This window comes from Homo sapiens, chromosome 3, assembly GCF_000001405.40.
Source record: "Homo sapiens chromosome 3, GRCh38.p14 Primary Assembly".
Lineage (NCBI taxonomy): Eukaryota > Metazoa > Chordata > Mammalia > Primates > Hominidae > Homo > Homo sapiens.
The window spans coordinates 93,978,278-93,993,057 of NC_000003.12; the positions used below are offsets into that span (position 1 = coordinate 93,978,278).

General features: G+C 38.5%; 1 protein-coding gene and 1 pseudogene across 14 annotated transcripts in view, besides 2 other annotated features; one reads left to right on the top strand and one right to left on the bottom strand.

Moving 5' to 3' along the window:
* Positions 1,486-1,645: an enhancer, noted in NCBI's record as "active region_20122". NCBI's record gives its function as "activates an Ori minimal core promoter by ATAC-STARR-seq in GM12878 lymphoblastoid cells {active_cell/tissue: GM12878}" and the evidence as "EXISTENCE:reporter gene assay evidence [ECO:0000049][PMID:35858748]".
* Positions 1,878-14,780, top strand: part of ARL13B (ARF like GTPase 13B) — a 75,524-nt gene continuing 62,621 nt past the window's right edge. For 12 of the 14 annotated variants that reach the window (NR_033427.2, NR_135621.2, XM_006713532.4 and 9 more), the window contains exon 1: positions 1,878-2,205. Coding sequence is in view for 5 of the 14 variants with exons in the window: in NM_001174150.2 (NP_001167621.1) it covers positions 2,147-2,205 (59 nt within the window). In the remaining 9 variants the exon portion in view is untranslated. Of the gene's footprint in view, positions 2,206-10,394; positions 10,435-14,780 lie in introns of all 14 variants that reach the window. The other 2 variants (XM_011512533.3, XM_011512535.3) reach the window with 1 other exon arrangement.
* Positions 1,916-2,045: an enhancer, noted in NCBI's record as "active region_20123". NCBI's record gives its function as "activates an Ori minimal core promoter by ATAC-STARR-seq in GM12878 lymphoblastoid cells {active_cell/tissue: GM12878}" and the evidence as "EXISTENCE:reporter gene assay evidence [ECO:0000049][PMID:35858748]".
* HMGN1P7 (high mobility group nucleosome binding domain 1 pseudogene 7) lies at positions 9,669-10,785 on the bottom strand (annotated as a pseudogene).

Here is a 14,780-nt window from a genome sequence, read left to right on the forward strand (position 1 = left end):
CTGTGACTGTTATGATGAGAAGAAAAGGTATCACCCCCTTTGTTCCCCATAAGGCACAGTATTTTGGAGATAGCAAGCTGTATGAGATGTATATAAATTTGAATTAAAATTACATGAGGCTGGGTGCCATGGCTCATGTCTATAATCCCAGCACTTTTGGGAGGCCGAGGCAGGCGGATCATTTGAGGCCAGGAGTTTGAGACCAGCCTGGGCAACATGATGAAACCCTGTCTCTACAAAAAATACAAAAATCAGCTGGGCGTGATGGTGCACGTCTCTAGTCCCAGCTACTTGGGAGACTGAGGAAGGAGGATCACTTGACCCCAGGAAGCGGAGGTTGCAGTGAATCGAGATCATGCCACTGTACTCCAACCTGGGTGATAGAGGGAGACTCTGTCTCAAACAAAACAAAACAAAACCAAAAAAAGTTACATGATTTAGTAAAGGACAGAGACTAATTTAAAACCTATATGTATCTTAGTCTCAAATCATTATATTCCCCGCGAATACACTGGGATTCTCAGTGCCTTCTATCCTTTCATCAGGATTTGAAAATATTTATTTAAGTAGAAAATGAATGGACACACAGATCCCTACATATTGTGCATAATTTTTTCCCTACAGGAATGTCCTTGTCATTTCTTTTTCTCCAAAGTATATAAAAGAAATGCAAATATTACATACCTCTTTAAAAAATAAACTATTACAAAACAGTCAAGAGATAACAATCTTCATCTTGCAGATACCAAATAGCCAGCAATTTATGTACCTAAAAATCCTGAAACAAACATACATCAAAATGGTTATTTATTTATTTTTGAGACGGAGTCTTGCTCTGTTGCCCAGACTGGAGTGCAGTGGCGCGATCTCGGCTCACTGCAACCTCCGCCTCCCGGGTTCAAGCAATTCCCCTGCCTCAGTCTCCAGCGTAGCTGGGACTACAGGCGCGTGCCACCACACCCGTTTTTGTTTTTTTTTGTTTTTTTTTTTTTGTATTTTTACTAGAGACGGGGTTTCACCATGTTAGCCAGGATGGTCTAGATCACCTGGCCTCGTGATCCGCCCGCCTCGGCCTCACAAAGTGCTGGGATTACAGGCGTGAGCCACCGCGCCCGGCCCCAAATGGTTATCTTTGAGAGCTCCTGTGAGATCTCATTTTCTTCATCTTGTTTCTTTTTAGTATTTTTCACATTTTCTACAAGAAATGCATTTTTCTTTTGTAATCACAATCCCCCCTACAACAAATATCATACAATTCCGTTTCACATATGTAACAGTAATAAACGTTTTAGAGATTAAGGCTTCACTCTCATCTGAACTACTGAGAAAATTTAGCAAGCGAATTTCCCCCTTGTCTTTAACTTACAAGAATTGCCCCAGTGTATTGTTCCTGTAGTCATGCTGCCTAAGTCGGCCAGAATTCTAGAGGGTCCCCATCCCTGAGCAAAAAACAAACAAACAAAAAACAAGAAAAAAGAAAGAAAGAAAAAGAAAAACCCATGCACAAGACCTGAGATCTCTGAATCTCAGTTGGGGACACTGGAGAAAGGAAAGGAACAGCACCGTGGATTGGCAACACATTTTATGTAGGTATAAAGATAGGCCTTGCTGGAGATTTGTCCCGGATCCTCCAGCTTATCTCCGGACGCTCCGGTTGCCTAGTTACGAGAACGAGCTACCTCGAGCTCCGCCTCCTTCTTATAGAGTACTCCCCTTTCTCTTTTCCTAGTCTCGCGCAGGGGCGGGTAGCCAGGACTCTTCAGCCACTCAGAGGCCTCTACCTCAGGACCTCAACCGATGATTGGGCGAGCGCAGTACGGGCGTTGCCTGGGGAACGCCTTCCGCGCCTCGAAGTAACGTCAGCACGTCGACGCGGGGCTTTTCTTTAGCCGGGTCCCGCTAACTCGGCTACGGTGTATCTGCGTCTTTGGTCAGGTTGTTCCTTGGCTAAGAGGGCAGTCGTCGCGGACCCACGCGGTTAGCAAGGCTTAGTGCTCGGGCCGGCCGCCTTCACTTCCCTCCCGGCTTTTCCTCCCGACTTATCCACTTTAGGGGCGTCTCGGAGTGCCGGAGGCCCCCGGGGAAGAGCGGGGTGCCGGTGTCCGCTCCGGGCTCGGATGGGAAGTGGTGGGAGGAGCGACCCGGGATGTTCAGTCTGATGGCCAGTTGCTGCGGCTGGTTCAAGCGGTGGCGGGAGCCTGTCAGGTAGGCTGGAGCCAGCTGTCCTGGCCGTCCTAGGGGTTGGAGATGGCTGCGCCCCAGGGGCGAGGCGCCGCCTTTTCCCCGCGCCTGGACGAGTCTATCCCAGGCCGCAAGGGATGCTTTCATTCCCAGGGTGTCCCGGGAGGGAGAGATTGGAGGATGTAGCCTTGTTGTCTGGTCGACTTTCTGTTGCGATTGACAATGCTTACCGTTGTTATATTTTAAATAGGTTTGAATTTGTTAAAAAGTGTGTGTGTGTGTGTGTGTGTGTGTGTGTGTGTGGAATTGAAAACTATCCATTGTGTGTTTTTCCTCTGAAGCTTTTGTAATGGAAATTCTTTTAAAAAGAGGGGGACATGGAATATAGTTTTCATAATATCCGCACATTCCATTCCAAGTCACACCTCCACACAGTTGTATTTGAGGACGTGGGCTTGAAATCTGGCTCCACTACTTAATAATTACATGACTCAACCATTTTGGCCCCACCTTTCTTAAATATTAAATGAGAGTGATAATACTCTGCTTTAGAAATATTGTATTCAATGAGAACAAGTGATAGTGTTTTCTTAACTGTAATGTAGCTTCCAATTTTTATACGGTCTCTAGTAAAACCTTTTAATTGAAAGGGTCCACTTTTTAACATTTCATTTTGAAATGCTGGAAGTATTAATAATTAGTACCTGTTACTTGATATTCATTCATTCAAAAAATATTTATTAAGACAATACCTTGTGCCAGGCACTGTCTTAGGAAATAATCAGTGAAATTGATGCTTTTGAAACTGAGGCCTAACCTATAAAGAGATCTTGTGTTTGTTACACAAATAATGTTGACTTCACATAGTTCTAGTCTGGAATTGGGCCAAGGGTAAGATAAAGCAAAGTTGTTTTTTTTTTTAAATTGTTAACATTTTAAGTATATTTGCCATGAGAATGAACTATCCTTTAAAGAATGAATCTGAAAAGCTACACTTACACATTATAACAGAAAATACATGTCTAGATTGGAAAAAAAGTAACTTTAAATGAAACTAGAGATTCTTCCCCATTATTAGCTCCTAACTGAATTTGAATGTTTTAAATATAAGTAGTAAGATCAACTCTGTAAGTCAAAGATGGGCTGGGTGTGGTGGCTCACGCCTGTAATCCCAGCACTTTGGGAGGCCGAAGCTGGCCGATCTTTGGAGCCCTGGAGTTCGAGACCAGCCTGGTCAATATGGCGAAACCCCGTTTCTACAATAAAATAAACGGGCACGGTGACGCACGCCTGTAGTCCAAGCTACTTCGGAGGCTGAATCAGTAGGATCACTTGAGCCTGGGAGGCGGAGGTTGCAGTGAGCCGATATCGCTGCACTCCCTGAGTGACACAGTGCAACCCTGTCTCAAAAAAAAAAAAAAAAAAAAAAAAGAAAAAAGTCAAAGAGTTGTTTTAGGTGCATAGATTCTGATTTATTTGCTTTAATTATATTCTGGTCTAATTTCACAGTATCTACTAAGACTTGAGGGTCATTCATAATAGTTGACCCCTCATTTTCCTCCGTGTCTGCTTTTAAGAAATGTATTTGGTTTCTGTGAAGGCATGTATATAACTTACGTTCTTTTAACGAGAAACAGTGAAAACGTGTAATTCGAAGAAGGAGTGTTCAATTTAATTCATCATTCTTAGTCTTTCCTTTTCTTAGCAGCTTTTGTATATATACTCTCTGGAATGATTTGTTTAAAGAGAAGAGTTCAGAGAAAGGAGAATGTATTGATTTCCAAGTAGAACAGATAATTGAATTTTCTTAATAAAGCATTATTAAAATTTAGCTGCATAACCCAGAGTGTATTTTCTTCTTTAATAAGCACCATCTAGATTTGTCCTGTCCAGTAGGGTAACAACGAGCTACACGTGGCTGTTGAGCACTTGAAATGTGGCTAGTCTGAATTAAGATGCTGTAAGTGTATGTTTAATACATAGTGGGCTTTGAAAAAAGATTTATTATGCAAAAAAGTCAGCATCTTATCAGTCTTTTAAAAGTATGATTACATGTTGAAATGATAACTTTTGCATATGCTAGGTTAAATAATATATTAGAATTAACTTTTTTTTACTTTTTAAAAAATGAGATTACTAGAGAATTTCAATGTATATGTTGCTTATGTTAACATTTCTGTTGGATCTTACTGCTCTGGATCATAGCCTAATATAAAGGACATAGGTAAACATCTCAATTTGGATAACTGTCAAAGAATTTGAACACAAGTTGGATTACCCCTGTCTTCTAAGTCCCCTTGTTCAATGCCTGATTTATAATAGTGGCTGAATAAATATTTGCCAAATATTGTATGTAGTTCGATTTTTCTTAGTAATAATCATCCTGAAGTAAATAACATTAGCAAGTAGTTCCATTTATTTTACTGGAATAAATGAGAGGTGAGCAAGCTAATTTTAAAAACAAAATTTTGTGCTTTTATGGTGTTCTCTATTTTTTCAACAGAAATTGCCTGTTTGATTATTATGTATATATTTGTTTTCTGTAGAATTTCTTATTAAGATTCCTCTTCATGTTTATATTTTATGAAGATGAAATGTGAGGAGTGAATTTGTAAAAGAGATGATGATGGTTATTAATATACTATATTTGAGATTACTTTGCAGATTTGTTTAATACATTCTGTACCCCAGTACCCATTGTATTTGTTCACCTCTCCTCACTTAGATCCTTTCCTAGTGAGCATATTATTCCAGACATTGGAATCAGGGATTAGATTTGTGTGATAAGGACAAGGCAGGAGTCAGAGATCAAGTGTTAAGGCACCAGTCTAGGTCAGCAGTCAAGATCTTATAAAAGTTTAACGCTTCATCCCCCTTAGTGGAGTACTGAACCCCACTTATTTGGGGTTTGGTATGGCCCCATTCATGAATTTTGGTTCAGTTTGGTACGGCTCCATTCATGAATCAATGAATGTGGAAATAAACTCTTGAAATTTTATTGTTCCTAAGTTTATCTTTTAAAAATATGTTACCAAATTGCTCCTCAGAAAGGATTAAAAAAGAGAAAACACAGTTTCTACTCCTACCAACAGTACGTTGGAGTGCCTTTTTCACTGAGAAAATCAAGAGTCATCGGTTTTTCATCTCCTTCACATTATAGGGGAACCTGCTTTCTGCTTTGAGTTTCTGGGGTTTTTTTTGTTTTGTTTTGTTTTTATTACTAGGAAGATTAACTTTTTTTCCTTGCGCATTTTTGTTTCTCTCAGCAGTTGTCCATTGATTACTGTTGTGTTTTTTCTATTGGGGCAGGTGTGTTTTCTTAATGAATTTTTAAAAAGAAATTTTAAGTGTTTGTCGTAGCTACTGTTTCTCTGTAGTACAATTGACACTTGAACAACGCAGGGTTTAGGAGCACTGAACCCTGCCTTGCCAGCACAGACAGAAATCCACATATAACTTTTGACTTCCAAAAAACTTAATTACTAATAGCCTCCTGTTGACTAGAAGCCTTACTGATAACATGAATAGTCAGTTACCACATATTTTTTATGTTATATGTATAATTTATTGTATTCTTAAAGTTAGAGGAAAGGAAATGTTAAGAAAGTCATAAGGGGCGGAGCACGGTGGCTCACGCCTGTAGTCCCAGCACTTTGGGAGGCTGAGGTGGGCAGATCACTTGAGGTCAAAAGTTCAAGACCAGCCTGGCCAACATGGCGAAACCCTGTCTCTACTAAAAATACAGAAATTAGCTGGGTGTGGTGGTGGGCACCTGCAATACCAGCTACTTGGGAGGCTGAGGCAGGAGAATCACTTGAACCTGGGAGACAGAGGTTGCAGTGAGCTGAGATCATGCCACTGCACTCCAGCCTGGGCGACAGAGCAAGACTCTTGTCTAAAAAAAAAAAAATTAAAAAGAAGAAAAAAATACATTGACTATTTATTAAGTGGAAGTGGATCATCATAAAAGTCTCCATCCTCATCTTCTTCCCATTGAGTAGGCTGAGGAGAAAGAGGAAGAGGGGTTGGTCTTACTGTCTCAGGAAGGTTTCAGAGGCAGAAGAGGTGGAAATGGAGGCTGGGGAGGCAGAGGAGGCAGGAGAGGAAGGCACACGTGTAACTTTCATTAAAAACAAATTTGTGTGTAAGTAGAACTGTGCAGTTCAAACGTGTGTTGTTCAAGGATCAGTTGTATAATATTGCAAGTATTTTCTTTCCATTTGTTATATTTTCAACTTTTTGTGCTTTTTAAATATAAACATTTAAAATGTTTGAATTCAGGCTGGGTGTGGTGGCTCACACCTGTAATCCTAGCACTTGGGAAGATCGCTTGAGCCTAGGAGTTTGAGATCAGCCTGGGCAATATAGTGAGACCCCATCCGTACAAAAATGTTTTAAAAAATTAGCCAGAAGTAGTGGCATGTGCCTGTAGTCCGAGCTACTTGGGGGGCTGAGGCAGGAGGATCGCTTGAGCCCAAGAGGTGGAGGCTGCAGTAAGCCCAGGTTGCCCCACTGCAGCCTAGCCTGGGTGACAAAGTGAAACCCTGTCTCAATCAATCAATCAATCAATCAATCAATAAGACTAAATAAAAATTTTAAATTCAAATATATTACTGTTTCAGTGTAATGTTTAGAAAGTTCATCAGCATTACAAGATTACATTCACATATACTTTTTTCTTGTAGTTTTATATTTTCATTTTTAACATTAAAAACTGTTAATCTATTGCAATCTATTTAGCTTATAGGGAGCAGCCTTCATCCTGAGTACAGGACACAAGGTCTGTGAAGCTATGATGCTCAGTAAATCTCTGGGCCTTATAGCAGATTCTAACCCTTACACATTCTCATCTACAGATTTTGAGCTCCTGTTATTTATAACATAGCATCTAGGTGATGAAATAGTGCATGTAAAATATAATGATCGAATATGCAAGAGTTGAAATATGATTTTTAAGATTTTTAATGAGAATCAGGAAAGAGGATTTTAGAAGGGGTGTAATTTTACCTGGGTCTTGAAGAAATTCATGCAACAAATTTTGCATACAAATTTTGGCAACAAAATTCTTTGTTTATATGAAAATATACATGTTATATAACTTCTTATATATTATGCATACATAACTAACAAAAATGTTTTTACTGTTATTTAACCAAAAAGAAAGATATAATAAGTACCATATGCCTGCCAGGTTTTATAAATATTAATCTTTAGTCATCATATTTCAATTTTATTTTAATAAGTAGGTAACAAATCCTTGAAACTTCCTGCCCCCTATTCATCTCCCACCATTCTTCCACAGAGTTAACCTTTAATTGGAACTGATTTCTTGTCCATCTGTGTTTTTTCAGCATCACAAATACAACCTATCAAAGCTTTACTTCAAATTTATTAGTAAATTGTTTGCTGTGGCCAAGTCTAAAATAAGATACAGTACACAATGTTTCTAGTGGTCTGTTTTGTCCTCTTTGCTATGAACTTTTTCACTGAGGGAATACTTAGCTCCCTAATACCATCATTCTTGGCCTAAATAAATATAACTGTAAATCTAGACCATTTATAGAAATTGCTGAGTTCTTAATTTTCCAATTAAGCTGTATGTACAGATTAGCAAGGATTATCTATTGTGCTGTATGCTGAACTGGAATATTTTACATCTCTTTTTATCCCCCTAGTTCTTCTTGATTATGCATAGTAAGAATTTTAGAATTTTAATATAGAAAAGGACCTAGAGACATTCTTATTTTACCCCCTTATATTTTAGAGATGAAAAAATGGACACTAAGAATTTGACTTGATCAGGGCTTAAAAGCAGGCTATAAACCCAAGCTTGGCCTTCTCACTATTTATTCATACTCAGTAAATTTAGATAATGATTTTGCTGTAATATGGGGTTCTAGATCTGAATTGAAATGTCAGAAAATAGTGTACTGCAATAAAATCACACTGTTTTTTCGATACATTTTTTTCTTTCTATCAATTTGTCGTATAGTGATTTTTTAAAATTCTCACATATGTATCATAAAACCTTGTTCTAAAGTCTTTTTTTGTATATGTATTTGTTACTTTTAGAATTTATGTTTATGTTAAAATTTAGAATTTGCTTCATGTAGTTTTAAATACTGTAGATAATAGAGTTCCGATGTGTCAAACTTTGATTTTAGTGTTTTTAGCGAAATGTTTTCTTTGACTTGCATAATATTTTTGAAGTTAGAAACAGCTTTTATGGGCCAGGCATGATGGCTCGCACCTGTAATCCCTGCACTTTGGGTGGCCGTGGTGGATGGATCAGTTGAGGTCAGGAGTTCGAGATGAGCCTGGCCAACATAGTGAAACCCTGTCTCTACTAAAAATACAAAAAATTAGCCAGGCATGGTGGCAGACTCCTGTAATCCCAGCTACTTGGGAGGCTGAGGCAGGAGAATTGCTTGCACCCAGGAGGCAGAGGTTGCAGTGAGTGGAGATCTCGCCACTGCACACTCCAGCCTGGGTGACAGAATGAGACTCCGTCTCTAAAAAAAAAGGAATAGCTTTTATCTAATTATCATATTGAAAGTATTGTCTTCCTTAGTTAAAAGATGAGGAAGTTTAGACTTGTAGGTGTTCAAATGATTGTGATAATGTCATTCAGGAAAGATTCAGAATTTAAATGTTTTCTAAGTTCAATCCTCCCTAATGCCATGATGCTTATATTTCTGATTTTTTTTTTTTTTAAATAGAGACAGGATCTCACCATATTGCCCAGGTTGGTCTCAAACTCCTGGGCTCAAACAGTCCTCCTGTCTTGGCCTCCCAAAGTACTGGGATTACAGGCATAAGCCATTGTGCCTGACCAGTATTTCTGATATATTAATTTGTATATCCGTTATATAAAAAGGAATTCTGAGATAAGATATTCTCATATTCTCACTTAGGAGATCTATTATATACATTGTGTTGACTTGAACAATATTAATTATTAGCTTCTGGAGTATGGAAGTCTTCACTTGTTTCGGCAGATAGCTAAAGTGATGTAAAACAGACCTTTGGATCCCTTAATCTCTACCTTTGATTTTTTTTTGTTTTTACTAAGAATTATTTCAGTTTTTTCTTTTGTAATGGAGATTTTATTTGTCGTGTTGAGAATAAGTATACAGACATTTCAAATTGTACACAATTCTTAACATACATACCAAAAATCTAGAAAACCTCTATTGTAATTCCTTTTTCTGAAACGGTCTCTCTCTATTGCCTAGGCTGGAGTGCAGAGGAGTGATCACGGCTCACTGCAGCCTTGACTGCCCGGGCTCAACCGATCCTCCCACTTCAGCCTCCCAAGTAACTGGGAGGTGCATGCCACGATGCCTGGCTAATTTTTTTTTTTAATTTGTAGAGACAAGGTCTCACCATGTTGACCAGGCATGTCTCAATCTCCTGGGCTCAAGTAATTCTCCCACCTTGGCCACCCAAAGTGCTGTGATTATAGGTGTGAACCACTGCACCCGGCCTCTTTTTTAAATAGTTATTATAGTGACATTCCAACTTAACATTTGGAGGCAAATTTTTCTTAAGAGGATTATCAAGAGCCAGTATCTACAAGTGTTTGATAAGCTGTACACGTTCTACCAATTCACAGTTTAATAGCATGTACACTATATACCCAAATTTTCAATCTTTCACAGCACATTAACACAGTTATTAGGAAATCAGGACTTCTGTGACCAAAGATGTTATAGTGTACACAGTTCTGACAGGGAGAGCCATGATCAAGGAGTGGTTTTCTTTAGGAAACAATTCTGTGAAAAAAAAAAAAAAACATGGCAATAGAAGTAATTTAAAATGTTCAAGACATTAAATGCAGGATTCTGACTCTGTATTGCCATTTAGTATATTTTGTATTACAGTATATAAAAACTAAGCCCCCATCTGTGGAATGTTAAGCTGACATCCAAGACAGTCAAAACTTCCTGTAATTCAATATCCCATACTATTCTCTGGTTTCACCAAAAAATAAACAACCAGAGAATTATTTCACCTCAGAAAAAACTTAACAATGGAATGAGGTGGGAGTTCCTGCTACTTAAAATGTTTCTAGAGCTACTAAAAGACTTGCACTTACAAAGCAGTTGATAAAAATACCCTGGATTGTACAAGAAGGGAGACAGGGACTACTGATAAGACATGGTATATGATATTAATCAGACTTGGCTTCTTTCTCTCCTGCTTCATCAAAGGTTGGAGTCTCCTCGGTTTTAGTTTCTTCGTTTTCTGCAGGTAAATCTTATTTAGTTTCTTGGTTAGCCACTTTGGCCTGTTTTCCCTATGCTCCCCTTTTCCCATTTGTTTGCATTTTTTTTTTTTTTTTAATCTGAAGATTTAGCCTTTCCTGATGCCTCTTTGGCTTCATTTCCACTTTTGCAGGAGCAGGTTTAGCTGACAAGTGCGCAGATCTCCTCTTGGGCTCTTGCTTCGCCACCCCTTCGGCTGAACTGACCTTCCTCTTGGGCATCTTGGCGGCAGGAGGGGCACTTGCTGGGCACCTGTGGGCCACGGAGCTGAGAGCCTTCGCGAAGCTGGGCTGCCTGGCTACTGGCACTCCTCCCGCTGCCCGAGCTGCTGAGACCCCTATTTCAGTTTTGAAAGTCTTTCTGTTAATTAGTACCTTGAAACCATGAGCATGTAAGCTTTTTCAGAAAACTTCAGCCAATTTGATATATATGGATATAATTACATTCTTTAATATGAACTATTTTGATGTGAAGATTTATATAAATTAGCTTCATTATAGTACTTTCTCAATCTAAAGTTATGTATTTTAATTTTACTTAGTATTTACTCAGCAAATGGGGTTCAGAAAATGTTTGTTGTTTCTTTCAGTAAAGAAGCCTACTGTGTGCCCAACACATTTGATACAGGCACTACAGAGCTGATAAAGAGAAGTTCTGGTAGAGGAGCCTGTATAAAAAGTAGCCGGGGATGGTTGTGAAGGGCTGAAGGAGTACTCGGCATGGAAGGAATCCTCGGCATGGCAGGCTTCCTGGGAGTGGCAGAAGTGGGGGCTGCCAAATTGAGACTTGATTCTCTATAAGGATTTTAAGCAGAAAAATGCTATGGTTAATTTTTTTTTTTTTTTTTAAACAGCCTCATGCTGTCAACCCAGGCTAGACTGCAGTGGCATGATCCCAGCTCATTGAAACCTTATTTAATTTTCATTATATCCCTTTAGAGTAGCTATTGTTATTATCCTATTTCATTCATGAAATTCTGAAAAGTAATGTGCCATATAGCTTAGAAATGGCAAATCTGGCACTTGAACTCAGGTCTCTAACACCAAATTTGTGGCTACATTTCAGAGTACCCATAATACCTCTTATGTTACTTATTACTAGTATAACATACTGTAAATCTTATAATACTACAGAGTCCTTTGTATCTCAGCCTTTCTAGTAATCAAAGACCCAGGGATGACTATAATATTAGGAGTAAGCGGCTCACTTTCAACTTCTGGAAAGGTTACATCATTAATTATTTGATAATACAGTTTGAGTATCTCTTTTTTTTGTTTTGTTTTGTTTTGTTTTGTTTGAGACGAAGTCTCCCTCTGTCGCCCAGGCTGGAGTGCAATGGCACGATCTCAGCTCACGGCAACCTCCACCTCCTGGGTTCAAGTGATTCTCCTGTCTCAGCCTTCTGAGTAGCTGGGATTGCAGGTGGGCGCCACCAAGCCTGGCTAATTTTTTTTGTATTTTTAGTAGAGATGGAGTTTCACCATGTGGGCCAGGCTGGTCTCAAATTCCTGACCTCAAGTGATCCACCTGCGTTGGCATCCCAAAGTGCTGAGATTACAGGCATGAGCCACCGTGCCTGGCCCAGTTTGAGTATCTCTTAGCTGAAATGCTTGGGACCTAAAATTTCTCAAATTTTTAATTTTTTTTTGATTTTGGAATATTTGCATATATATATATAGTGAAGTATCTTGGGAATGGCCTCCAAGCCTAAACACGAATTTCATTTATGTTGTATATACAATAGCCTGAAGGTAATTTTATAAAATATTTTAAATAATTTTGTGCATATAACAAAGTTTTGATTGCAGCCTGTCACATGAGGTCACGTGTGGAATTTTCCACCGTGGTGTCATGTTGGTGCTTAAAAAGTTTAGGATTTTGGAGCATTTCAGATTCCAGATTTTTGGACTAGGGATGCTCATTTACTGGTTCCTTAAGTAGAAGTATATCAAGTTCCCTTTAGACTCACTACATTGTTGTATTGAGTTGTGACTATGTTCTTCTTTTGCTTAAGGCTGCTATGCTGAGATATGCTCTTAACCCCTTGTTTATCAACTCATAATGTGATTGGTATTTTCTCGTGCAGTGTTCTCAGTCTGGAATCCCTTCATCTTCCTTCTGTTTTTACCTTTCCCTTGCTTGACTAACTTCTCACTTTAAGAACTTAGGTTAGGCATTACCTTAAGAAGCTTCTCTGACCTTCTGCCCTAACTTTGGGCTGGATAAAGTCCCCTTGTTTGGTATCCCATTATCATCTTACATATATAGCTAAACATTTTAAACTTTCATAGTGTCAGAATGTATTTGTATTTATGTTTTAGTCACTGTCACTAGAGGTTGAGCACTTCAGGACAGAAAAGATGTCTGAGGCATTTTTGTGTCCACAATGCTTAACGTACTTTAATTGTATTACCATCTGACCAAATGATTAAATGATTGATTTTATTGCTAGTGTCAACTTTTATAGACACTGTAAACCTAAGAGTACTGTATATTATTTTTTCAATTTGAAGGGCTAATGTATTTGATCAAATAATCATCAAACTAAAAGATATTGGCAATCTTTGATCTTTCTGTTGTCATACAGCACCACAGCCAAACTGTTCCCAATAATAATTTACCATATTTTTGTATGTATGTGTGCATGCATGTACGAATGAATTAATGAATGGATGACAGGGTCTCATTCTGTTGCCCAGGCTTCAGTGCAGTGGTGCAGTCATGGCTCACTGCAGCTTCAATGGGCTCAAGTGATCCTCCCACCTCAGCCTTCCGAGTAGCCAGGACTGTAGGCACACATCACCATTCCCAGCTAATTTTTTAAAAAAGTTGTTGTGGAGACAGAGTCTCATTATGTTGCCCAAGCTGGTCTTGGGCTTAAGTGATCCTCCTGCTTCAGCCCCGCAGAGTGCTGGGACTACAGGTGTGAGCCACCATGTCCGTCCAATTTATCATATTTTAAAAAGCTATAGCCACGTGTACATTATAAACTTGGTTAAATAAATTATAACCTCTTTATAGAAGTTTGAGTTTTAGGTGAATGTTAACCTTTTAATTGCATTCTATCCTGAAAGTATAAATTTAATGCTTTGTTATCAGGCTTTGCAGTAATCCATGCTGTGATTTTTATTTGTACTCCTTGTTAGTTATGTTTATTCAGTAATGCTTTAATTCCCTAAAACATTTAATTAAAGCCTTTTTTCAAGAATAGGACATAGTCTTAAACATTAACTAGTTGCAAAGGTAGTAAAAGTGAAAATAGAAATAGAATTATTTTATGCCAGTCTCAACACTATTATAATTCTCTAAAGTGATTTTCTTCTTTGAAGGACATTTTTGTTTGTTTGAGCCTAATAGCCTATAAATAAAGACAGACTCTTAAGGTAAAAGCTAATTTTCTTGGTGGCTTTAGGAACAGTGTTTCAAAATGCATAGTATATATGTATTTAGATGTTTGTTTTTTTAAAAAACTGAAATCTTGACAAGAATGGAGAAAAACGTGAGGTGCTCTATATAATAGAGAACAAGGAGTTATTTTTCATGAAAAGGTGGATCAGGGAATTTTTACTTTGACTCATAAGGGATGTGAAAAGTTTTCGTGATGTTTCCAGGAACTGCCGACTCAGTTGATGCTTGTTTGTTTATTTGTGGTATTGTCTTCTCTGACTTCCAGAGTGGGCTCTGTAGCCTGCTGTCTATCCTTATGACTGCCCACTGCTTCCCCTAATTTATAACAGTTATCTCATGTTACTGTAATTACCTCTCCAGTGCCTTTTTTCTTGCTAGGCTCTAAGGTTTATGAGGCCTAAGAATTGTGGATATTTGTTTGCTACTATGTAATGGGTGCTTAATATTTATGGAATAAATGATGTAAACTAGTAGAAAACAGAGATTTATTCCCCAAAAGTAATCGCTTTCGTTCATGGCAATGTTTAAAGCACTGTAGATCTTGAAATGCATTGTATACATAAAGAACAATTGAGTTAGCTTTAATATTAGCATTACTTTAGTCCAATTCATTATATCTCTAGTAACTTGAATTATCTAAAATATTTATTTTATCATTGTGTTTTATTTTATTTTTTGAGACAGCATCTCACTCTGTTGCCCAGGCTGGAGTACAAGTGGTACGATCTTGTCTCACTACAACCTCTACCTCCCAGGTTCAATCGATTCTCGCAGCTCAGCCTCCCAGGTAGCTGGGACTACAGGCGTGCGCTGCCATGCCTGCTAATTTTTGTATTTTTTTTTTTTTTTTTTGTAGTGATGGGATTTCACCGTGTCGTCCAGGCTAGTCTCGAACGCCTGAGCTCGAGTGATCGGCCCTCCTCA